The sequence below is a fragment of the Homo sapiens genome, chromosome X (genome assembly GCF_000001405.40).
Source record: "Homo sapiens chromosome X, GRCh38.p14 Primary Assembly".
Classification (NCBI taxonomy): Eukaryota; Metazoa; Chordata; class Mammalia; order Primates; family Hominidae; genus Homo; species Homo sapiens.
The window spans coordinates 120569516-120591499 of NC_000023.11; the positions used below are offsets into that span (position 1 = coordinate 120569516).

The following is a 21984-nucleotide window of genomic DNA, read 5'->3' on the forward strand; positions in this document are numbered from 1 at the left end:
ACGCCCGGCTAACTTTTTATATTTTTAGTAGAGACGGGGTTTCACCGTGTTAGCCAGGATGGTCTCGATCTCCTGACCTTGTGATCCAACCGCCTCGGCCTCCCAAAGTGCTGGGATTACAGGCGTGAGCCACCGCGCCCGGCTGGGAAGTTTCTATTACCAAGTAATATATTTGGTGGGTAAGGCAGACAATTACAAGACAGAGTGACAAAGGCCACTATGAGAACGCAGAGGTGGGACACCTGGCCCAGCCTAGGAGGGTGAGGTGGGGTGCAGTGGAGGAAGGGAATTAAGAATAGCTTCCAGAGAAAGAAATCCAATTTAAATCCCCGAGAGTGAGTGGGAATTAGCCAGGCAAAGGGAGTGAAAGGGAGCAGGGGGCATAAAGAAGGAAGATAGGAAGCACATTTAAATCCTAAAGGAAGAGAGAGTAAGGCACATTCAGGACATTGCAAGGAGACTAGTTATTAGAGTGTAACTTCAGTCCTAACCAGAAACTCTGAAGAGCTAATGAAGGAAATGAAGGCAGCATCCCAATCTCAAGTCTGGTACAGCAATCTTAGGCCTCTTAGCACCAAATCTTACTCAAATACCCTACTTGCTGTTGGAGCTGTGGCTACAGATAACACTTCTTGCCTTGAGCCACACTGGTTCAGGAATTGGATTTACAAGTCAGGCTCACTCTTAGATATAGGAGGTGAGAATCACAAAGCGGGAGAATAGGGTTTGACACGTGCAAAGTAAGACAAGGGCAGACTTGATAATAAGAACCACAATACTGGGCAACACTACAAAAATTCAGATAAACTACAGCAGGGTTTGGAAACCACAGCCCATGGACCAAACCCTGTCCTTTACCTGTTTTTGTAAATAAAGTTTTATTGGAACATTGCAATATTTATTTGCCTATGTATTTTCTGTGGCTGCTTTTATGCTAAAACAGCAGAGTTTAGAGTTTTGACAGAGACCGTATGGCCCACAGAGTCTAAAATAGTTCCTACTAGTTCCTTAACAGAAAAAAAAATTGCCAGTCCTTGCATTTGAATATACTAATTGTTAAAAACAGAGACATGGCACAAAGGAGAAAGTGATTTAGAACATGCTAAGGATTTTCTATTCCTATTCTGCATGCAGACTTCAAAGGATGGCAAGAGAATATTCTTTGATAAGAAAATGGCTAAATAAATTGTGGTATAGTCACATAATGAAATACTATACAGCATTGAACAATGAATAAATTACAGCCATGTGCATAAGTCTCAAACAATGTTATGTGAAAAACACAAATCACCAAATAATACCTACAATTTGATAACTTTTTAAATAAAGCTCAAAAATAAGAAAAACTTGCAGATATATAATATGATAAAAGTATTAAAGTATAGAAGGAAAATAGCTGGGTGATATGGTATGCACCTGTAGTCCCAGCTACTTGGGAGGCTGAGGCAGGAGGATCGCTTGAGCCCAGGAGTTCGAGACTAGCCTGAGCAACACAGGGAGATAACAAAAAAAAGGGGGTGGGGTGGGGTGGGGGGAATAATTAATGTAAGATCTGGGATAGGAGATTGCTCTAGGGGAAGTATGGGAGGAAAATTTAGGGAAGGGGAATTTAGGTAAATTCAAAAGCATCAGTAATGTTCTAGTTCTTACACACAGATGATAGATTCCTGGATGTTTATTTAATAATTATGCTCCATAAATTACACATCATACATCTTTTGTATGTATTAAAATTACACAAGTCGCCATAGTGTTTGCAGAAATTTTTAAAATTAAAAAAACTAAAAGGTTTTTTTAAAAAAAGTTTCAAGACAGGAAGTGGTGACTTATTGAAGGCAGACCATGACAGTATGCAGAAAGAATAGCTGGCAGAGATAACAAATGACAACTAGGATTGATTTTTGTAACATTTAAGCATACCTTGTGGATTTCTGGAAATTACTCAAGGGCGGGGGATGCACCCTCCAACCTGGTGGAAGAATGGACTCTCTATGGTCCACAATATGGGGGCTTAACGTTGTAACCTGTATATTAATCATACAAATCCAAACTTAATTTGTAGTATCAGGACAGTGAGATCTAGAGATCTATGGATTACTTGAAAAGGGGAACAGTGTGTGCAAAGACATGGAGGCATGAGAAAGATCATGGCCCATTTAGGCAACTGTTTACAGGTGACCCTTGAACAATTGGGGTTTAAACTGTGATGGTCCATTTATACACATATTTTTTCAATAAATACAGTCGGCCCTCTGCATGGGCGGGTTCCACATCAGCAATCAAGCAGGAATGGAAAATACAGGATTTGCAGGATTGGAAACCTGTAAAGGGAAGGCCAACTTTTTGTATCTGTGGGTTCCGCAGAGCTGACTGTGGGAGTTGAATATGCACCGATTTTGGTATCTGCAGGGTTCCTGGAGCCAGTTCCCTGCAGATACGTTGGAACAACCATATTACCATGCTGTGTGACTGATGTTCAGTAGGCCTGTGGAGGAATGATGAGAGATGAAGACAGAGAGGTGGGGTGGGTTCAGATCATGGCGAATATTGTATGTCATCCTCCAGAGTTTAGATTCTATCTAGTAGGTCATGGGTAACCACTGAAGGGCATCAAATATGGAAGGGAGTAATATAACCAGAGGTACAGTTAGAAATGTCCAGGTCTTGGCTAGGCGTGGTAGCTCATGCCTGTAATCCCAGCACTTTAGGAGGCCAAGGCAGGTGGGTCACTTGAAGTCAGGAGTTCAAGACCAGCCTGACCAACATGGTGAAACCCTGTCTTTACTTAAAAAATATAAAATTAGCCGGGTGTGGTGGCGCATGCCTATAATCCCAGCTACTTGGGAGGCTGAGGCAGGAGTATTGCTTGAACCCAGGAGACGGAGGTTGCAGTGAGCCGAAATCATGCCATATAGCACTCCAGCCTGAGCAACAAGAGCAAAACTCCTCAAAAAAAAAAAAAAAAAAAGAAAAAGAAAAGAAATGTCCAGGTCTCAACAACCTTTGACTACAAAATAAGGTGAAATCTCCACTCAGTCCCTGTTCCCCAACTAAAACCAGCCCCCAAAGGTAACCTCAGTTAAGTTTACTGATTAAAGATCTTTTTCTATACACTTAACCAACGTGCAGTTTTTGCTTTTTTTAAAAAAAGGATCACACAGTATAAATTTTTCTGTGACTTTATTTTTTGCTTAATATTATATCATGAACATCTTTCCTTGTCACTACACACAGATCTACCTCACTATTTTTAAGGGCAACATAGTATACTATATATGGATACATATTCCTATCACTTAAAAAAATCTAATTATCACACGTTATTGTTGTTGCTTTTTTCTCTTACCTTACGTTGCTGGACTGACAATTTCCTTTGTTTCTTTTTTCAACTATTAGTGTTTTGGAAGTTCTACATACTATTTACATTCTATTAATGGTCACGTTTCAGTTCTGTTTAGTTATGCAAATGATATATAAACATTCTTTTTGTAAGAAAAAATTTAAACAATATAGAAGAATATAGGATAAAAAGTGTAAGTGTTGGTGGTCAGATAAGCATACAAAAAAGAAAAAATAAAATTAAAAGTGTCTTTTACCTGTTAAATTTGGTGCATCACCTTCCTCAGCATTTATGTACATATATACTTGTATATATACAAATAGGAAGCTTTAGTATTTTTTAAAATGGCATAATTACTGTACATATAGCTCTACAATTTGCTTTTTTCGCTTAATATATATTAGAGATCTGTCCATGACAGTATATAGAGATCTACCTCATTCTTTTTAAGGGCTGTACACTATTTTACAGTAAAAATATACCATATTGTATTAAACCATTCCCCTATTTTTGGACATTTGGTTATTTCCAATTTTTGTGACTACAAACATGCTCCAATGAACATCCTTGTAACATAAATCTGTGCATGTATAAAAGTATTTCTGAGGATATATTTGAAAAAGTAGAATTGGGTCAAGGGGAAGGTATATTTAAAATTTCGATACACTGTCATATTTACCCTTCAAAAATGTTGTGCCAACATATGATCCCCACCTTCTGAATGACCATTAACTGCCCCATATCCTTAGCCACACTAAATTTTATCAAACCTTAAAGTTTTTGCCAAAATATTACATGAATTCATTCTCACTGTAAAGCAACAAAAACAAAGTAAAAGCAGGAGTGCTCTCTTGACCACCATCCCCTGATCCCAGTTTTCTCTGGGAAAATTTGTTTCTACCTTGCTATTAAATTTTTTATTAATTGTTTCATTACGCTAGATGTTCTGAGGAATTTCCTTCCTTTTCTTTTTTCTTTTCTTTTTTTTGAGACGGAGTCCCACTGTTGCCCAGGCTGGAGTGCAATGGCACAATCTCTGCTCACTGCAAGCTCCGCCTCCCACATTCAAGCGATTCTCCAGCCTGAGCCTCCCTAGTAGCTGGGATTACAGGCGCGTGCCGTTACCACGCCCAGTTAATTTGTGTATTTTTAGTAGAGACGGGGTTTCACAATGTTGGCCAGGCTGCTCTCGAATTCCTGACCTCAGGTGATCCTCCCCGCCAACCCCTCCTCCCCCATCACCTGCCCCCCTCTGCCCCAGCCTCCCAAAGTGCTGAGATTACAGGCGTGAGCCACCGCACCCGGCCCTGAGGTATAATTTCATAAGAATTTACTCAAGCTTCCTAGACATGTTGTTAACAATATTTTTTTTTTGAGAGGGAGTCTCGATCTGTCACCCAGGCTGGAGTGCAGTGGGCGATCTCGGCTCACCGCAAGCTCCGCCTCCCGGGTTCACGCCATTCTCCTGCCTAAGCCTCCTGAGTAGCTGGGACTACAGGCGCCCACAACCACGCCCGGCTAATTTTTTGTATTTTTAGTAGAGACGGGGTTTCACCGTGGTCTCGATCTCCTGACCTCGTGATCTGCTCGCCTCGGCCTCCCAAAGTGCTGGGATTACAGGCGTGAGCCACCGCGCCCGGCCTGTTAACAATTATTTAGACTTAACTCTTGAGTTTTACTAGTTCATTTACTCACCACCGTCTTTAGAGGTAGTAGCCTCATCATCATTCCCATCTCCTGATCCAGATGACTGTGACATCATCCGTCCTTTGGGTCTACGATAGAAAACAGAGAATTCACTTTTCCAGCAGTCCTCTCCCATATCTGTATAGTGTTATGAATTCATTGACTCTGGTTTCCCAGCCAATTTTATCCTATTTGTTCCATATCTTCAAGGAAATTATCAAAATTTTGGTCTGCTAATCACATCCTTCCTTGCTAACCCTTGCAATTTTAGTGCTATTCTTTTACTCGTTTTTTTCTTCTGTCATTTCAAGCTGATTTGGCAGGGAAAACACATTTGTTAAGATTCTCTTAAATTGGAAGCCTGACATGCCATTTTAAATTACAATGGCTTGAACTCCTACGGGCTTGAATGTCAACAAAACAGATTCCCCTCAAAGTGTCCTCCAGCTATTTCTGGAGGTTCTTCAAAGTACTATCTCACTTATGATCTGAATCAGTCACAAATTTTCTTCTGTTCCTGCCTCTTCTTTAAGCTGCAGTGCTATGGTTGTTGAAGGCCATCTTGTGATCACCACTTTGCTGGGTAGGATCTTCACCACAAATAACTATGACTCTAACGAGCTTTTCCCTAAGTTATCCGCATCACAGGTGAATAAAGGCTGTAACTTTTAACATACCTCTTATAAATATTTGGGAATAACGAAACCTAGCACAACATTGAGAATAACTTAAAATTGCCTAAAAATGTGGCTTTGCTTAGGTCTTGTGACCCATAACCAGGTACATAACCAGGTCCACCTTCAATAAGTTCCTAAACAAGATCCTCCCCACATTCCGAAATCTCAAAAGGGCATTTTAGCTCACCGTCAGTCACTGGAGGATCCGTTGTGTTCTTCTATCTAAGGTCCGAGCTGTCTAAAGCAGAGGATTGGGAAGACCTTTTGAAAACACTTTAGCAATGCCCGCCCTTTCGGCGGGCTAGGTTCTGCCCGCCGAGGCTGGCTTTCATGTGTATTTAACACCTTCCGGGATGATAGACTGCAGGGCTGACCAATCTCTGCAGGGGAAACCCCATTAGTCTAACAACAGAGGCCTGGTTGGAGCCAAAAGAAAAACAAAACGAAAATTTCAAACGATCTCAGAGTTATACAGTTCCCAAAGCCTGGGTTATTCTCTAATAATACTACCTATGGGACTTAAACAGATAAGCCTAGGTTGTTCTATACCAAGACTGGCAGTTTCTAAACTGAACTGCTGGGGAGGGATTGTGTCTTCACAATTGGGTAGTGCTGACGTCACCCTCATGGGGAGGGGTGGTGCATCAGGGTAGTGCTGACGTCTCCTCCATGGGGAGGGTGAGGGGCATCAGGTTCTCCACGTGGTCTCTGCTGAGCGGGAAAAGGTGGGGGATGGGAGATGGGAACTGGAGCCTTCTAAGAGCCGAAGTCTAGGCTCCTGTTCCGCCATTGCTGGCTTGGGTAAGGGTGAGTCTGCATTTTTTCTTTTTTCCCATGGCATTTGGCTTGACTAGATTAGCTATCTAAAATTTTCTCGATTGCTAGATTGCTCCTTTTTGGGTTCTTTGTCTTGAGAGACAAGTTTTGTTAAGGCTTTAGTCTGTGTCTGTTGGTGTTTCACACTGTTGTGAATGGGATATATATATGCACACATAATGTCTAGTTCTGTTATTACTAGAATAAGAGAAAATTATTGGAATATAACAAAAGAATGTTAATTTTAAAATCTAGGTGGTGGGTGTATTGATGTTCATTGTAAAAATTCTTTAAACTTTTCTGCATGTTTGAACATTTTTATAACAAATATTGGAAAATAAAAGGGAGCTATTTAATAATACTTTGAAAAGGAAAAAAATGGAAATGATGGGATTCTATATATTTATTTTGCATCTGGCTTGTATTAGGACTCTTGTTTGCAAGTGACAGAAACCCAACTTGAATAATCTTAAGAGGAAAATTGAGTTTATTGGTTAACGTAACTGGGAAGAATAGGGCAGATCTCAGAACCAACTAGATCGAGGGACTCAAATGGTATCTAGGCTCTCACTCCGTCTCATCTTTCATCTCTGCTTCTCTCTGTATCGCCTAATTCTCTAAGACTCTTACATGGTAGAGACCCGACATGGCTACTAATTTCTCTGGGTCACATCCTTACAGTTCAATATCCAAGGAAAAGAGAAAATTACTTCTTTACCTTTGATTTGGAAAATTCCAAGGGAGATCTTGTATCTCTGGGCCAGGTCTCATGCCTACCACTTGGAGCTACCACTGAGTCCAATGGGGTTGGATATTATGATTATGATGTTATGATTAGTCCATCCTGGGTTAGGTGCCCAGCCACAGGCAGCGGAGGGGACTATTGTGATTGCCTGTCCTACCAGGACTATATTGAAAGGATAAAGTAGGAGCAGGTACCCAAAGGAAGAAGAATGCTGTTGCTAGAAGCAGAGAGGAAGGAATGCTGGGCAAAGCAAAATAGCAGATATCCACTACATAGGCTTATTAGTTTTAATGTTTTTAAGTTACATTTCTTGGATTCTCAATGTGTATAATCATATCTATAAATATACTTTTTCCTCTTTTCTCTTTCTTTTAGATTTATACAGCTTATTTTGTTTTCTTGTTTTGTCACATTCCAGAGCCTTCAAAACACTGTAGTGGACATCTATGCTTTATTCCTGAATTTCAGGGGACGTGACTTGATTATGATGCTTTCTATTGGCTTTTCGATACTCTTTACTGTGTTTAGAAAGCTCTTTTCTAGCTGGGTGTGGTGGCTCATGTCTGTAATTCCAGCGCTTTGGGAGGCCGAGGTAGGTGGATTGAGCCCTGGAGTGCGACAGCAGCATGGGCAATATGGTAAAACCAGTCTCTACAAAGAATACAAAAAATTAGCTGGGTATGGTGGTGCATGTCTGTAGTCCCAGCTACTCCAAAGGCTGAAGTGGGAGGATCACCTGAGCCTGGGGAGGCAGAGGTTGCAGTGAGCAGAGATCACGCCACTGTACTCTAACCTGGGCAACAGAGCGAGACCATGGCCAAAAAAAAAAAAAAAAAGTTTTTTTTCTATTCTCATTGTACTTTCTATACTCATTGCACTCATTTATAAGGAATAGCTGCTGATTTTTATCCAGTGCCTTTTGGCCATCCATTAACAGGTAAGACTACATCAAAATTAAAAATTTTGTAAGGAAGATAGTAAAGTACAGAAATCACCTGAAAACAAGAAAATGGAGAAACTGGAATGTAGACTTTACCTTCCGTGAAACTAGGAGTGGTAAATGCTACATGAAAACACTGCTTAGAGCTGGGTGTAGTGACTCAAGCCTATAATCCTAGCACTTTGCGAGGCTGAGGAGGGAAGATCGCTTAGAGCCTAGGAGTTTCAGACCAGCCTGGGCAACATGGTGAAACCCTATCTCTACAAAAAATACAAAAAGTAGCTCAATATGGTGGGCACACACCTGTAGTCCCAGCTACTAGGGAGGCTGAGGCGGGAGGATTGCTTGAGCCCAGGAGGTCAAAGATGCAGTGAGCCGTGAGTGTGCCACTGCACTCCAGCCTCGGCCAAAGTGACACCCCGTTTCAAAAAAAAGAAAAAAAGAAAAGGAAAGAAAAAGAAAAGAAAGAAAGAAAGGCAGATGGAAAGCAGATGGATAGGTGACTAAATTATTTTAGCTAGCCCCAGTAGAAGCACTCATCATAAATCCCATGGACGTTCTAAGTGCTTTACATATGTTACTCCAGCAAAAGAGGTCTATTATTTGTAGAAACTAAACAAGAGACATCTGGATGCTCATTATGTAGCTTTATTTGTAAAAGTTCATTGAGCAGTACACTTATAATTTGTGAATTTCTTTTTTTTTTTTTTTTTTTTTTTTTGAGACAGAGTTTCGCTCTTGTTGCCCAGGCTGGAGTGCAATGATGCAATCTCAGCTCACTGTAACCTCCACCTTCCGGGTTCAAGCGATTCATCTGCCTCAGCCTTCCTGAGTAGCTGGGATTATAGCCATGTGCCAACACACCCGGCTAATTTTGTATTCTTAGTAGAGACGGGGTTTCTCCATGTCGGTCATGGCTGGTCTCAAACTCCCGACCTCAGGTGATCCGCCTGCCTCAGCCTCCCAAAATGCTGGGATTACAGGCGTGAACCACTGTGCCCAGCCAATGATTTGTGCATTTCTGTATGTTATTTATCAATAAAACGTTTTTAAAATAGACTAAAATGCAAATAAGTGAAAATGAACCACAGAGGTTATAGACTTAGAGACAAGTAGGGAAAGTAGAGTATGCTAGACTGAAAATAGGAGGAATAAAGTCTGGGATTCTATTTCTCATATCTAGTTCCTGGAATATAAGCAGGCAGTCTTATATCCCAGATAGGAGATTTAAAGGATCCTTCTCTGAAGAATTGAGCCACATCAAAGAATAGTCTACTGGTACAGGTACCTCAACCAAAAAGCATCCTGCTATCCAATTGCCATACATCAAAGCCCACCCCTTCTCCCAGGCATTCAGAACTTCCAGCCAGCTTTTTAGTGCCTCACTCTTAAATATGAACAAATCACTAAAGATTTCAAACAACTCAAGGAAAGTACCAACATGAAAACCAGAAGTGAAACAAAAGCCAAAAAACAGAAAAGGGGAGGTGGGAGAAAATATAAACAATGAAAAGAACAAATAAAAACATTTTAAAAAGCTGGGCGCGGTGGCTCACGCCTGTAGTCCCAACACTTTGGGAGGCTGTGGTGGGCAGATTACTTGAGGTCAGGAGATCAAGACCAGCCTGGCCAACATGGTGAAACCCTGTCTCTACAAAAATAAAAAAGATTAGCTGGGCGTGGTGGCGCACGCCTGTAATCCCAGCTGCTCCGGAGGCTCAGGCAGGAGAATCACTTGAACCCAGGAGGCAGAGGTTGCAGTGAGCCGAGATCGCACCACTGCACTCCAGCAACACTGTCTCCAAATAAATAAATAAATAAATAAATAAATAAATAAATAAATAAATAAATAAAAAACGTTAAAAAAAGCCCTACTAAGCTTCTACTCCAGTATATGCAGAAAGATAAAAGTGTTATATTCATAAAACATGAAGCATGAGCGAGAAAGAGCCCCACATGGAGGCATACCATTGTAAAATTTCAAAGTATTAAAGCAGACCTTAAAAGCTTCCAGAAGTAGGAAGAAGTAAAAGTTTCCATACAAAGGATCAAGAATAAGAATGGCATTTGGCTTCTCAATAGAAATCAGTAAAGCTGAAAGACAGCGGAACCATACTTCAAAATTATTAGTGAATATGATTTCCAATGTAGAATTCTATATTCAGTCAACATATCAGTTGAGTTTTAAGGTAGAATAAATACATTTTCAGTCATGCAGTGCTTAAATAATTTTCCTCCCATGCACACACTCACAAGAAGTGACTAGAAGACATGCTCCACTAAAACTAAAGGGCAAACCAAGAAAGAGGAAGACATGGCATCCAGGAAACAGATGATCTGACACAGGATATTGAAATAGGAAGACAGAGGCATCTAAGAAAATAAAATGGAATGGATAGATCATCTATTAATTTAACTGTCTATAAAATTATATTGAAAGTCTGGCTCTCTTCTCAGAAACCCAGCCCCCTCACCCCTCATTCACCCTAGAGGAAAAATAAAGGAGCTCTGTTTCATAGTTCGGGATGACTTAGCCATAGGTACAGGCAGGGCTGCCATATATAACTGCATAAGTTATGCACTGCACAACTCCACAGAGCACCATAGAAAAATGAAGCAAATGAAAAGGAGAGGCAATTGTTAAATCCAGGAAAAGCAAATGTTTAAGAAAGGAAATGTAATTATAATATATTATGTGGCTCATCAGTTAATTATTTACACATAATAGTTTATCCAAAAGTTGCTATAACTCTGTTGAGAGGATGAGGAGGAGAGAACTGGGGGGAAGATAAGAAAGCCTAAATAGATTATGGTACATCCATGTAGTAGAACACTGCAGCCATTACAAAGAAAATGATGGCGCCGTATGTATCCATCTGAAAGGAGTCTGTGATACATTAAGTGAGGCATAAAACCAGTTGTAGCCCAATGTCTATTGACTAATCCTATTTTTGTTTTAAATATATAAATAAAGGTATATGCATTCTGGTGTATCTGCTGATGGCCCTGGTGAGTGAGTGAAGTAAATTGTGGGAGAGAGGTTGTAGCATGTCCAATAGATGCCTCGTCTCTAATTCCTAAGGACAACTCCTAGGGAGTCCTAGTGGTGGTTGATGGTCTCTAAGAGTTGTTGGTGGCATTTGCATTGAAGACCTCTCCTCGGCCGGGTGCGGTGGCTCACGCCTGTAATCCCAGCACTTTGGGAGGCCAAGGCGGGCAGATCATGAGGTCAGGAGTTCGAGACCAGCCTGACCAACATGGTGAAACCCTGTCTCTACTAAAAATACAAAAATTAGCCACGCATGGTGGTGTGTGCCTGCAATCCCAGGTACTCAGAAGGCTGAGGCAGGAGAATCGCTTGAACCTGGGAGGCAGAGATCGCAGTGAGCTGAGATCGCGCCACTGCACTCCAACGTGAGCGACAGATTGAGACTCTGTCTCAAAAAACAAACAAAACAAAACAAAAAAAACTCTCTTCTTGGTGCTGAGAGTGACTCTATTAGAAGCCTAAGTGAGGAGAGCCTAGTCTTTAAAACCAGAGTTCCCTGGTTGTTAGAAGGATGATCTCTGGGCTGCTCTGCAATGTTGGCTCCGCTAGGACTCAGGGATTCAGGGCTGTCTCTTGGTGCAGTGGAAAGTGGGGAGCAAAGACTGCTGTCATAGAAGGCCTACTTTAGCAAAGTCTCTCTGAGTTTCAACTGACCTTTCAGACCTGTGCGTGGAATTGGGAGACACTCCAGAAGGCAGAGGCCTTGTCTCTGGGCATTGTGATTAGCACCAGCAGAGGCCACCATAATTGGTAATATGGTTCTGCAGCCTATGCCCCCCACACAGCTATGTGTGGGGAAATGAAATCTAGCCTATACTGTACTAGTAACCAAGCCTTGTGTACTAATTCAGGGGTGCCATGGTCAGCAGAGAAAGGCAAACTTTCTTATGACTGGCCTATCCAAAGAGGTGCCTTTTTCCAATTAATCTACCCCAAGGGGAGACTATTTTTTGCAATGTTTCTGCTCCGAAGGTCATACCCTTTTATAATTTGCCCTAAGGGGTCTTATGTGCTAGCTGTAGCCTTTGCTCTTTCTAAAACACTGATATGCAGATTGTAGGTCCTTAAGTCCTAATGGTCATGAGTAATCATAATATAAATATTGTACAATAGTAAGAAAGAGAAGAAGAAGAAGAAGAAGAAGAAGAAGAAGAAGAAGAAGAAGAAGAAGAAGAAGAAGAAGAAGAAGAAGAAGAAGAGGAAGAAAAGAAGAAGAGAAGAAGAAGAGAAGAAGAAGAAGAAGAAGAAGAAGAAGAAGAAGAAGAAGAAGAAGAAGAAAAGAAGAAGAAGAAGAAAAGAAGAAGAAGAAGAAGAAGAAGAAGAAGAAGAAGAAGAAGAAGAAGAAGAAGAAGAAGAAGAAGAAGAAGAGGAAGAAGAAATCCTGAGTAATCAGAAGCCTTCCCTGGAAGAGGCCCTTTCTCCTTGCCTCTCTGAGTGAGCCCTGGCCAGTCTCCTCACCTCAGGCAAATTGACATAAGAAAATGACTCTGGTCAGATTAAATCAAGATGGCAGCCTACGCACCTGTAACTTTGTTCTCATCCTCCCCACTTCAAATCCCTTAAAATATTACAATGGCAAAATAAACAAGAGCAGTATAATTAAAGGAAAGTGTACCATCAGCAGTCCAGAAATTGTGAAGAATCCCCTGAGGATAGAAATCAGTTAGAATCATATTGATAAGAGAGGAAGAGAAGCCTGGTCCAAAACCTGCAAGAGAAGATTACGGGAGTAAATCCAGAGAAAATCAAATTTCAGAATAAATAAATGCAAACGCATGGGAAGGGGGAACTTCCAGTTAATTAAAGAATTGCATTCACTACAATTGGAATGGAGCAGTTAAAAAAACAAACAAATGAGAACTATATTCAGAAAAGAAGGGTCACTTCTGTGGCTGTTTCTGTCCTTCCTTCCCCCCAACTTATTCCAAGGTTAAAACCTAGAATTTCACACTAAAGAAAGCGAACTACTTGCTTCCAAAGGTTTGCTAATGTGAGTGTAGGATCCTAGAAAAACGAAAACAACAGAACAGACCTTTGTGTAATCTGGACTTTCAGGAAATATAGGGAAAAAAACAGAAGCAGTTTTGATCGTGAGAGAAATACACTCCTGAGTAATACCAGTGAAACTGCCTTTGCAAAATTATGACAGTAAAAGGCCTTTATGCTTTTTCCCTTCTTGGATCTTGTTTTTTGAGGAAAAGGTTTTTTTCTTCCCAGTTGACTGAATTATGTTTCTCCATTTACTTCTGTCTGCCCTCTTGCCACCCTTGATGCCCACATGAGAGGACCTAAGATGATTCCTAACAGCATGGGACCCCTCAGGAAAAACAGAAGGCACCACAGACTCTGTTTTGGGTGGAACCTCTGTTTTCCTCATGGAACCCCAGGAGTCGTAAGCAAACAGATTAGATATAAGGCTCTACTCTGTTTTGCACTGTAATACCTGACCTTTTTACTTTGCGTATTGAGATAGCTTTTAGCCTTGGTATGTAATAGCTAGGTAGGAGATATACTTTTAGGGATGGTTAATGGCAGTTATGGGGGGATACTCGGTTCTTTGCATGTTTAGATAATAAAATAATGCTTTTGGTCACCTGGAAGGTATGGAAACATTCCCAGCCCGCACTGAGAGGTAAGGCTCTGATATGGTTTTGCTGTGTCCCTATCCAAAATCTCATCTTGAATTGTAATCAAAATTGTAATCCCCACATATTGGGGGAAGGTCCTCGTGGGAGGTGATTAGATCTTGGGGGTGGTTCCCTCATGCTGTTCTTATGAGAGTGAGTGAATTATCATGAGATCTGATGGTTTTCTAATTGTCTGGTTAGACAATCTGATTGTCCCTCCTGAGTAGCTGGGACAATAGGTGCATGCCACCACACCCAGCTAATTTTTGTATTTTCTGTAGAGACGGGGGTCTCACTGTGTTGCCTAGGCTGGTCTTGAACTCCTGGCCTCAGGTGATCCTCCCACCTCAGCCCCCCGAGTAGCTGGGATTACAGATATGAGCCACCATGCCTGGCAAAGGGATATTTAATATTGATAAAAGGTGCACTCCACCAAGAACATGTGACTGTCATGGACCTTTATGCACATAATGACATGAATAAGAAATATAAAGCAAAGTCTGTTAGAAATACAAGGAGAATAAACATTTACAAATAGTCACGGGGGGAGAGTCCCCTCTCTTGCTCTCCCTTCTCTCCTTCCCAACTTCTCTCCTTATCTTTTTCTTGCTTTCTCCTCTTCCTTCCTCCAACAAATAGATATTTAGCACCTTGTATGTATTAGGCATTGTGTTAGATATTGTGGGCAGAGTACCAAGCAAAACAATCTTGGCGCCTGCCACATGAAGCTGACAGTCTAGTGAGGGAGATAGACATTATTCAAATATTCATGCAAATACATGTAAAATTACAACTGTGATGAGTTCTCTATTAATTACTCAATTAATTATTCTGTAGGAGAGGCACACAGAATATGAGGTCAGGGAGGTTTTCCTGACCAAGCAAAACTTCCTCAGAGATTTGAAGACTGCACAGGAGTTAACCAGATGAAGCAGGAAAAAAAGCATTGCAAGCAAAGGGGAAAACATGTGCAAAGACCCTCTGGCAGGAGGAAGCCCAGTGCATATGGAGGACAAAAGAAAGCCAGTGTAGCTGGGGCTCAGACATCAAGTGGAGAATTTTATGAGGCTGAAGAGGTAGATATTGGCCATGCTATGCAGGGCCTCAGAGGCTATATTAATTATTTTGTTTTTAATGCTAAGAGAAATAGGAATCATTGAAAAGTTTACAGCCTGGGCAACATAGGGAAACCCCATCTCTACAAATAATAATAATAATAATAAATTAGCCAGGCATGTTGGTGCATGCCTGTGGTCCCAGTTACTTGGGAGGCTGTGGTGGAAGGATCACCTGAGCTCAAGAGGTCAAGGCTGCAGTGAGCCATGATCACACCACTGCACTTCAGCCTGGGTGACAGAGTGAGACCCTGTCTCAAAAAAAAAAAAAAAAAGTTTAAAAGTGAAAAAGACCACACTGACTGTAAAAAGTATTGGATGAGGGGCAAAAGTCAAAGCAGGGTGATCAATTAAAAAGCTATTACTGAGAAAAGAAGATATCTTAGGTAGAAGTGGTAGAAGGAGTGGTAGACATTGAGAAAGAACGAGTAAGCTTTTTTTTTTTTTCTTTGAGATGGAGTCTTGCTCTGTTGCCTAGGCTGGAGTGCAGTGCCTAGGTGGACTGCAACCTCCACCTCCCGAGTAGCTGGGATTACAGGCGCGTGCCACCATGCCTGGCTAATTTTTTTTTTTTTTTGTATTTTTAGGAGAAACGGGGTTTCACCATGTTTGCCAGGCTGTTCACGAACTCCTGACCTCAAGTGATCCACCCACCTCGGCCTCCCAAAGTGCTGGAATTACAGGCATGAGCCACTGTGCCTGGCCCAAGCAAGCTTTTAAGAGACATTTAGTGGGCAAGATGAGTAACAGCACATAACAAGGATGACTTCCTAGTTTCTGGCTTGTGCAAATGGATGGATGATGGTGCCATTTACTGAGTTACAGAATACTGCAAGAGGACCAAATTCTTGTTTTGGTTTTGGTTTGGGGGAAAGGAGGAAGAAGGACTAGACCAGTTGGGGGCAAGTTGGTCATCTCTCTCTCTCCAGACATCCCTTCATGTGGCTAGCTAGGGTCTCCTTACAGAATGACAGACTCAGGGTAGACAGACTTGTTACATCGTGCCTCAAGGGTCCAAGAGGGAGTGTCCCAATAAGCCCAGGTGGAAGCTGCAAGGCTTCTTATGAACTAGCCTTGTAAATCCCAGAATGTCATTTCTGCTGCATTCTTTTGGTTAAGCAAGTCTCTAAGATCAGCCCAGATTTAAGAAGAGAGGGATTAGGCTAAACAGAAAGAGAAAGTGGAAAGGCCATGTGCCTCAACTAATGAACCAATATTGATTATTGTTAACTAAAGTCTATGTTTTATTCAGATTTCTTTAGTTTTTTACCTAATGTTCCTTTTTCTGTTCTAGGATCTCATCCAGGATACTATATCATATTTAGTTATTATGTCTCCTTAGATTCTCTTGGCTGTGAAAGTTTCTTAAACATTCCTTGTTTTTGATGACGTGGACAATTTTTAAAAGTCTGTTGAGGTATTTTACAGAATTTGGGTTTGTCTGATGCTTGTTTCATAGTTAGGGGTTATGGATTTCTGGAAGGAAGATCAGGAAGGTAAAGTGCCATTATCACATTATATCAAAGGTACATGACCTATCACCGATGATGTTAACCTTGATTGTGAATATAGAAAACTATTTCCAGGATTGTTGCTATAATGGGGAATAGGAAACTTTAATGGTAGTTAATGTGGTATTCCATTTATTCATTCAACAAATATTTATTGAATGTGTACCATGTGCCAGGATCTTGGATAAAACAGTGAACAAAAACAGGCAAATCCTTGCCTTCATTGAGCGTACAATCTGGTTGAGAAGAGACACAATAAATAATAATATAACAAATTTTATAGTATGTTAGAAGGTAATGCATGCTATGGAAAAATTACATCCCTGAGCAAAAGGGATGGGAGGGCAAATGACGTTATTAGTGGAGTGACTAGGGCAATGCCTCATTGAGAAGGTGACATTTGAGCAAAGACTTGAAGGAAGGGAGGGATGTAGTCATTGGAGATCTAGGGTAGAGCCTTCCAGGTAGAAGGAACAGCCAGTGCAAAGACCCTAAGGTATGAACATGGCTAGTGTGTTTGAAAAATAGGAAGGAGGAGGCGGGGCACAGTGGCTTACGCCTGTAATCCCAGTGCTTTGGGAGGCCGAGGCGGGTGGATTACCTGAGGTCAGGAGTTCAGGACCAGCCTGGCCAACATGGTGAAACCCCGTCTCTACTAAAAATACAAAAAAATTAGCCCAGTGTGGTGGCAGGCGCCTGTAATCCCAGCTACTCAGGAGACTGAGACAGGAGAATTGCTTGAATCCGGGAGGTAGAGGTTGCAGTGAGCCAAGATCGTGCCATTGCACTCCAGCCTGGGCGACAAGAGCGAAACTCTGTCAAACAAAAACAAAAACAAAGAAAGAAAGAAAGAAAAGAAAAATAGCAAGTAGGTTAGTGTGACTAGAGAAGAGTCAGAGAAAGTAGGGGAGACTAGTAGGAAATGATGTTAAAGAGATAACAGAAATCCAGACAATTAAAGACCTTGTAAGCTATTGTACAGACATTGGTTTTCTTCTAAATGAGATGGGGAACCACTGGAGATGTTTGAGCAGAGGAGAGACTTTAATTTAACTTTCATTTTTAATAGGAAAATCTGACTCGTGTTGACAGTAGATTGTGGTAGGGGGCAGAGGTATAACACCAGTTAGGAGGCTATTGAAATAATCCAGGCAACAGATAATGATGACTTGAACCAGGATGGTAGCTGTGAGAGCTGTGAGAAGTGGGTGAATTATTGATATATTTTGAAGAGTAAATAGGATTTTTTTATTATTTGAAGATAGAATGTGAGAGAAAGAGAGGAGTCAAAGAAATACCAAAGAGTTTGGATCTAAGCAAAGGATGCAGTGCCATCCATATGAAAGGAAGCAACTGTCATCAACTGAAGGCTGTCAGTAATATAAGTTTTCGGATGTGTGTGGGGAGGCAGAATGGGGAGAGACTAGAAGTACTGTTTTGTTTATTTTTTTATTTTATTTCAGTAGTTTTTAGGAAACAAGTGGTAGTTTTAGACATGTGCTATGAGATGTCTTTTAGATATTCAAGCAGAGAAGTCAAATAGGTACTTGGATATACAAGTCTAGAGTTTAAGGGAGAAGTCTAGGATGGAGATATAAATGGTGTTTAAAGCCAGGAGACAAGATGAGATTATCAAGAGAGGAAGTGTGGACAGAGAAGAGAATACCAAGGATAGCATTCTGGGAGAGAAGAAGGAATCAGTGAAAGAGTCTCAGAAGGAGCAGCCTTCTGAACAAAGCTGGAGGCATCATACTATGTGACTTCAAATTATATTACAAGGCTATAGTGACCAAAACAGCATGGTATTGTTATAAAAACAGACACATAGACCAATTGAACAGAATAGATAATCCAGAAATAAATCCATGTATTTATAGCCAACTGATTATAGACAAAGGCACCAAGAACATACATTGGAGAAAAGACACTGCCTTCAATAAATGGTGCTGGTGTTGTTACATGGATATATTGGGACACCCACACACACACACACACACACACACACACACACACACACACCACAAATAAATGGTCCTGCAAAAATTGGATATTTATATTCAGAAGAATGAAATCCGACCCCTATCTCTCACCATATACAAAAATTTAAGATGGATTAAAGACTTAAACATAAGATCCAAAACTATAAAACTACTAGAGGAAAATGGGAGGAACACTTCTGGACATTTATCTAGGCAAATATTTTATGGCTAAGACCTCAAAAGCACAGGCAACAAAAACAAACAAACAAAAAGGACAAATGTGACTTAATTAAACAAAAAGCTTTTGCATAGCAAAGGAAACACAAAATAAAAAGGCAACCTACGGAATGAGAAAAACATTTGCAAACTAGGTATCTGATAAGGGTTTAATATTCAAAATATATAAGGAACTCAACACCATAGTAAAAACAATGACAAAAACAACAACAAAGTAATTCTATTAAAAAAGTGGTCAAAGGGCATGAATAGACATCTCTCCAAAGAAGACACACAAATGGCCAAAAGATATATAAAAAATGCTCAATGTCGCTAATTATCAGGAAAATGCAAATCAAAACCACAATTAGATATTGTCTGACCCCAGTTAGGATGGCTGTTATTAAAAAGCAAACAACGGATGCTGGTGAGGATGCAGAGTAAAGGGAACTCATATGCACTGTTGGTGGGAATGTAAATTAGTACAGCCACTATGGAACACAGCATGGAGGTTTCTCAAAAAACTAAACATAGAACCACCATATGATCCAGCAATCTCACGACTGAGTATTTACCCAAAAGTAAAGAAATCAGTATAACCAAAAGATACTTGCACCCCAGTGTTTATTGTAGCAGTATTCATAATAGCCAGGATGCAGAATCAACCTAAATGTTCATTAACAGGCAAATGAATAAAGAAAATGTGGTATTTATACATAATGGAATACTATTCAGCCATAAAAATGAAATCCTGTCATTTGCAGCAACATGTCTGGTCATTATGTTAAGTGAAATAAGCCAGGGACAAAACGACAAATATCACATGTTTTTACTCATCTGTGGGAACTAAAAAAGCTTATCTCATGGGGGTAGAGAGTAGAATGATAGAAACCAGAGGGGGTGGGAAGTGTATGTGGGTGGGGGGGGTTGATGAAGAAAGATTGGTTAATGGGTACAATAATACAATTACATAGAAGAAATAAGTTACAATGTTTGATAGCAGAGTAGGGTGACCATAGTTTGCAACAATGCTTTGTACATTTCAAAATAACAAGAAGAAAGGACTTTAAATATTCCCAACACATAGAAATGATAAAGACTCAAGGTGATGGATACTCTAAATACCCTGACTTCATTAATACACATTCGATGCATGCAATGAAATACTACATATACCCTATAAATTTATGCAAATATTATGTATCAGTTTAAAAGCATGTGTGTAAGACTATATTTTCAGGGGTCACTTCTATAGTTTGTTACTAGAGAAGTTTCTCTGAACAGGTAAAGATAAAAAGCACATATGTACTGTGTATATAAATGCGCCAAAAATTTCTGGAAGGATATACACACAAATGTACACACAATATACACACAAAATTATTGCCAGTCATTACCTATGGGGAAGGAAGGGAAGAGTTAAGGAGGGGAGGGAGAACGAGGTGGAGTGGGGCAGGACAGGGCAGGACACAGCAGGGACACTTTAAATGTGGTAATTTAGAGAGCATAGTGTTGTGACCACTTGAGTTCAAATCCAGATTCTGGTATTTCATATCTGCGTAATCTTCGGCAAGTTACTTCTTTTTCCTCAGGTTCTTAATTCAAGAAAAGAGAAAATACTAATAGTATCTACTTGATAAGTAATTCTGAGAATTAAATGTGTTAATACCTGAACGCATTTGCAACAGTGCCTGGTACATGGTAAGTCCTCAATAAATGTTAGCTATTATGATTGTCGGCTTCTGTGTTGTTTGGATGTTATATAATGTTGGAATATTCATGTACATCCTTTGAAAAAGCCAAGAGAAAGGGGCCAGTAGAGAGTGAGAGGTTGAAAATAGGAAAGAGGTAATAATAGGTTGAGTATGGCTAGTGAGGAGACCTGTACATGAATGGGCTCTACAATGCACATGGAGGAATTACACCTAGATTGGAAGAGGGATATCTTTCATTGTAACAGTAGAAAAGGATGGCTGTGAATATGTTTCTAGTTTGGTAGTAGGAAGTTGGTTTCCATCTGGAGACTTCTATCTTATCTTTGGGGCAGCTGAGTAGTTGGAGTTTTGAGGAAAATGAAGAAGATTGAGAAGTATCATTTGGGAAAATGAGAGAGTGAGTTGAAAATATGACAGGAATCCCCAGAAATATTGAAGGTCCACTTGACGTTGGTGACTACGAATTCAGAGTGGTAACAACCTGTTCATCTATGTGACTTTCTCTTGCAGTGCTTAACACCCCTGGGGGTAGGAGTGAGAAGAAAGGCTGTGAACCAGATGCCAGCATCTTTGATGAATGAGTACAGGAGAGCAAAGAGGTGGAGTCAAGGTGTAACCAAATATCATGAAACTCAGAGGAAGAAGGATCAGGGGGTTTTGCCTGAGGGTGGAGGAGGAATGGTTTGAAAGGTGCAGTGTGGTTGGAAGAGGATACCCACCTTACCTCCTCCATATGCAGTACATGCGATGTGTTGGTATAGATCACTTTCACTGGAAAGGGCTGTAAAGGAAGCTCCATCCTCATGGGAAACCCAGGAACGTGGATATTCGGGGATGAGTTTGTGGATGGCAGAAGAGTTTGTTAATCATGGAATAGTGTTCCAGGAGGCACAGCCGAAGCATGTAAGGAGTGAAGGTAGAAGTGGGAGGTCAGGGCCGGGCATGGTGGCTCACACCTGTAATCCCAGCACTTTGGGAGGCCAAGGCAGGCGGATCACCTGAGGTCGGGAGTTCAAGACCAGCCTGACCAACATGGAGAAACCCCGTCTCTACTAAAGTGCAAAATTAGCCGGGCATGGCGGCACATGTCTGTAATTCCAGCTACTTGGGAGGCTGAGGCAGAAGAATCGCTTGAACCCGGGAGGTGGAGGTTACGGTGAGCCGAGATCCTGCCAGTGTACTCCAGCCAGGGCAACAACAACAAAACTCCATCTCAAAAAAAAAAAAAAAAAAAAAAAGTGGAAGGTCAGGTTCAGGGAGAAGAAGCACAGAGCAATATGGGAATGCAGTTAGAGGATAAGAACAACAATAATAATAAAACATAACAATAATAATAATAATCTAACAGGGCTTTGCATAGATTATTTCATTTAATCCTCATAAAACCTCATGAAGAGTAGACCTTAATTTTACAGATGAGAAGACAAGCACAGAGCTCAAGTGATTTGCCCAAGGTCACAAAGCAGGTATGTCAAACTGGATGCTTACATGTTGAATGATGACAGAGGAAAACAGGGATGTAAATGAGGTATGGTGGGTTTGGCTCATCACAAATTTGGTTAGATGGT

The 21984-nt window shown here is 40.8% G+C and overlaps 1 protein-coding gene, 1 long non-coding RNA gene and 1 pseudogene across 2 annotated transcripts in view; 1 reads left to right on the top strand and 2 right to left on the bottom strand.

The window, feature by feature from the left end:
• CUL4B (cullin 4B) overlaps nucleotides 1-6017 on the bottom strand; it is a 51675-nt gene extending 45658 nt beyond the window's left edge. Inside the window, exons 1-2 of the mRNA NM_003588.4 lie at nucleotides 5891-6017; nucleotides 5036-5115 (exon numbers count right to left, since the gene is read on the bottom strand). Of these exons, the coding sequence (NP_003579.3) occupies nucleotides 5036-5102 (67 nt within the window). The 5' untranslated portion in view covers nucleotides 5103-5115; nucleotides 5891-6017. The remainder of the gene's footprint in view (nucleotides 1-5035; nucleotides 5116-5890) is intronic.
• Nucleotides 19309-21628, bottom strand: LOC124905210 (uncharacterized). The gene is made up of 2 exons (XR_007068313.1): nucleotides 21141-21628; nucleotides 19309-20296 (listed from the first exon to the last, which is right to left on the bottom strand). It is a non-coding gene; the product is annotated as an uncharacterized LOC124905210 (long non-coding RNA).
• LOC124905296 (uncharacterized) lies at nucleotides 19926-20015 on the top strand (annotated as a pseudogene).
• Nucleotides 21629-21984: the final 356 nt, after the last annotated feature.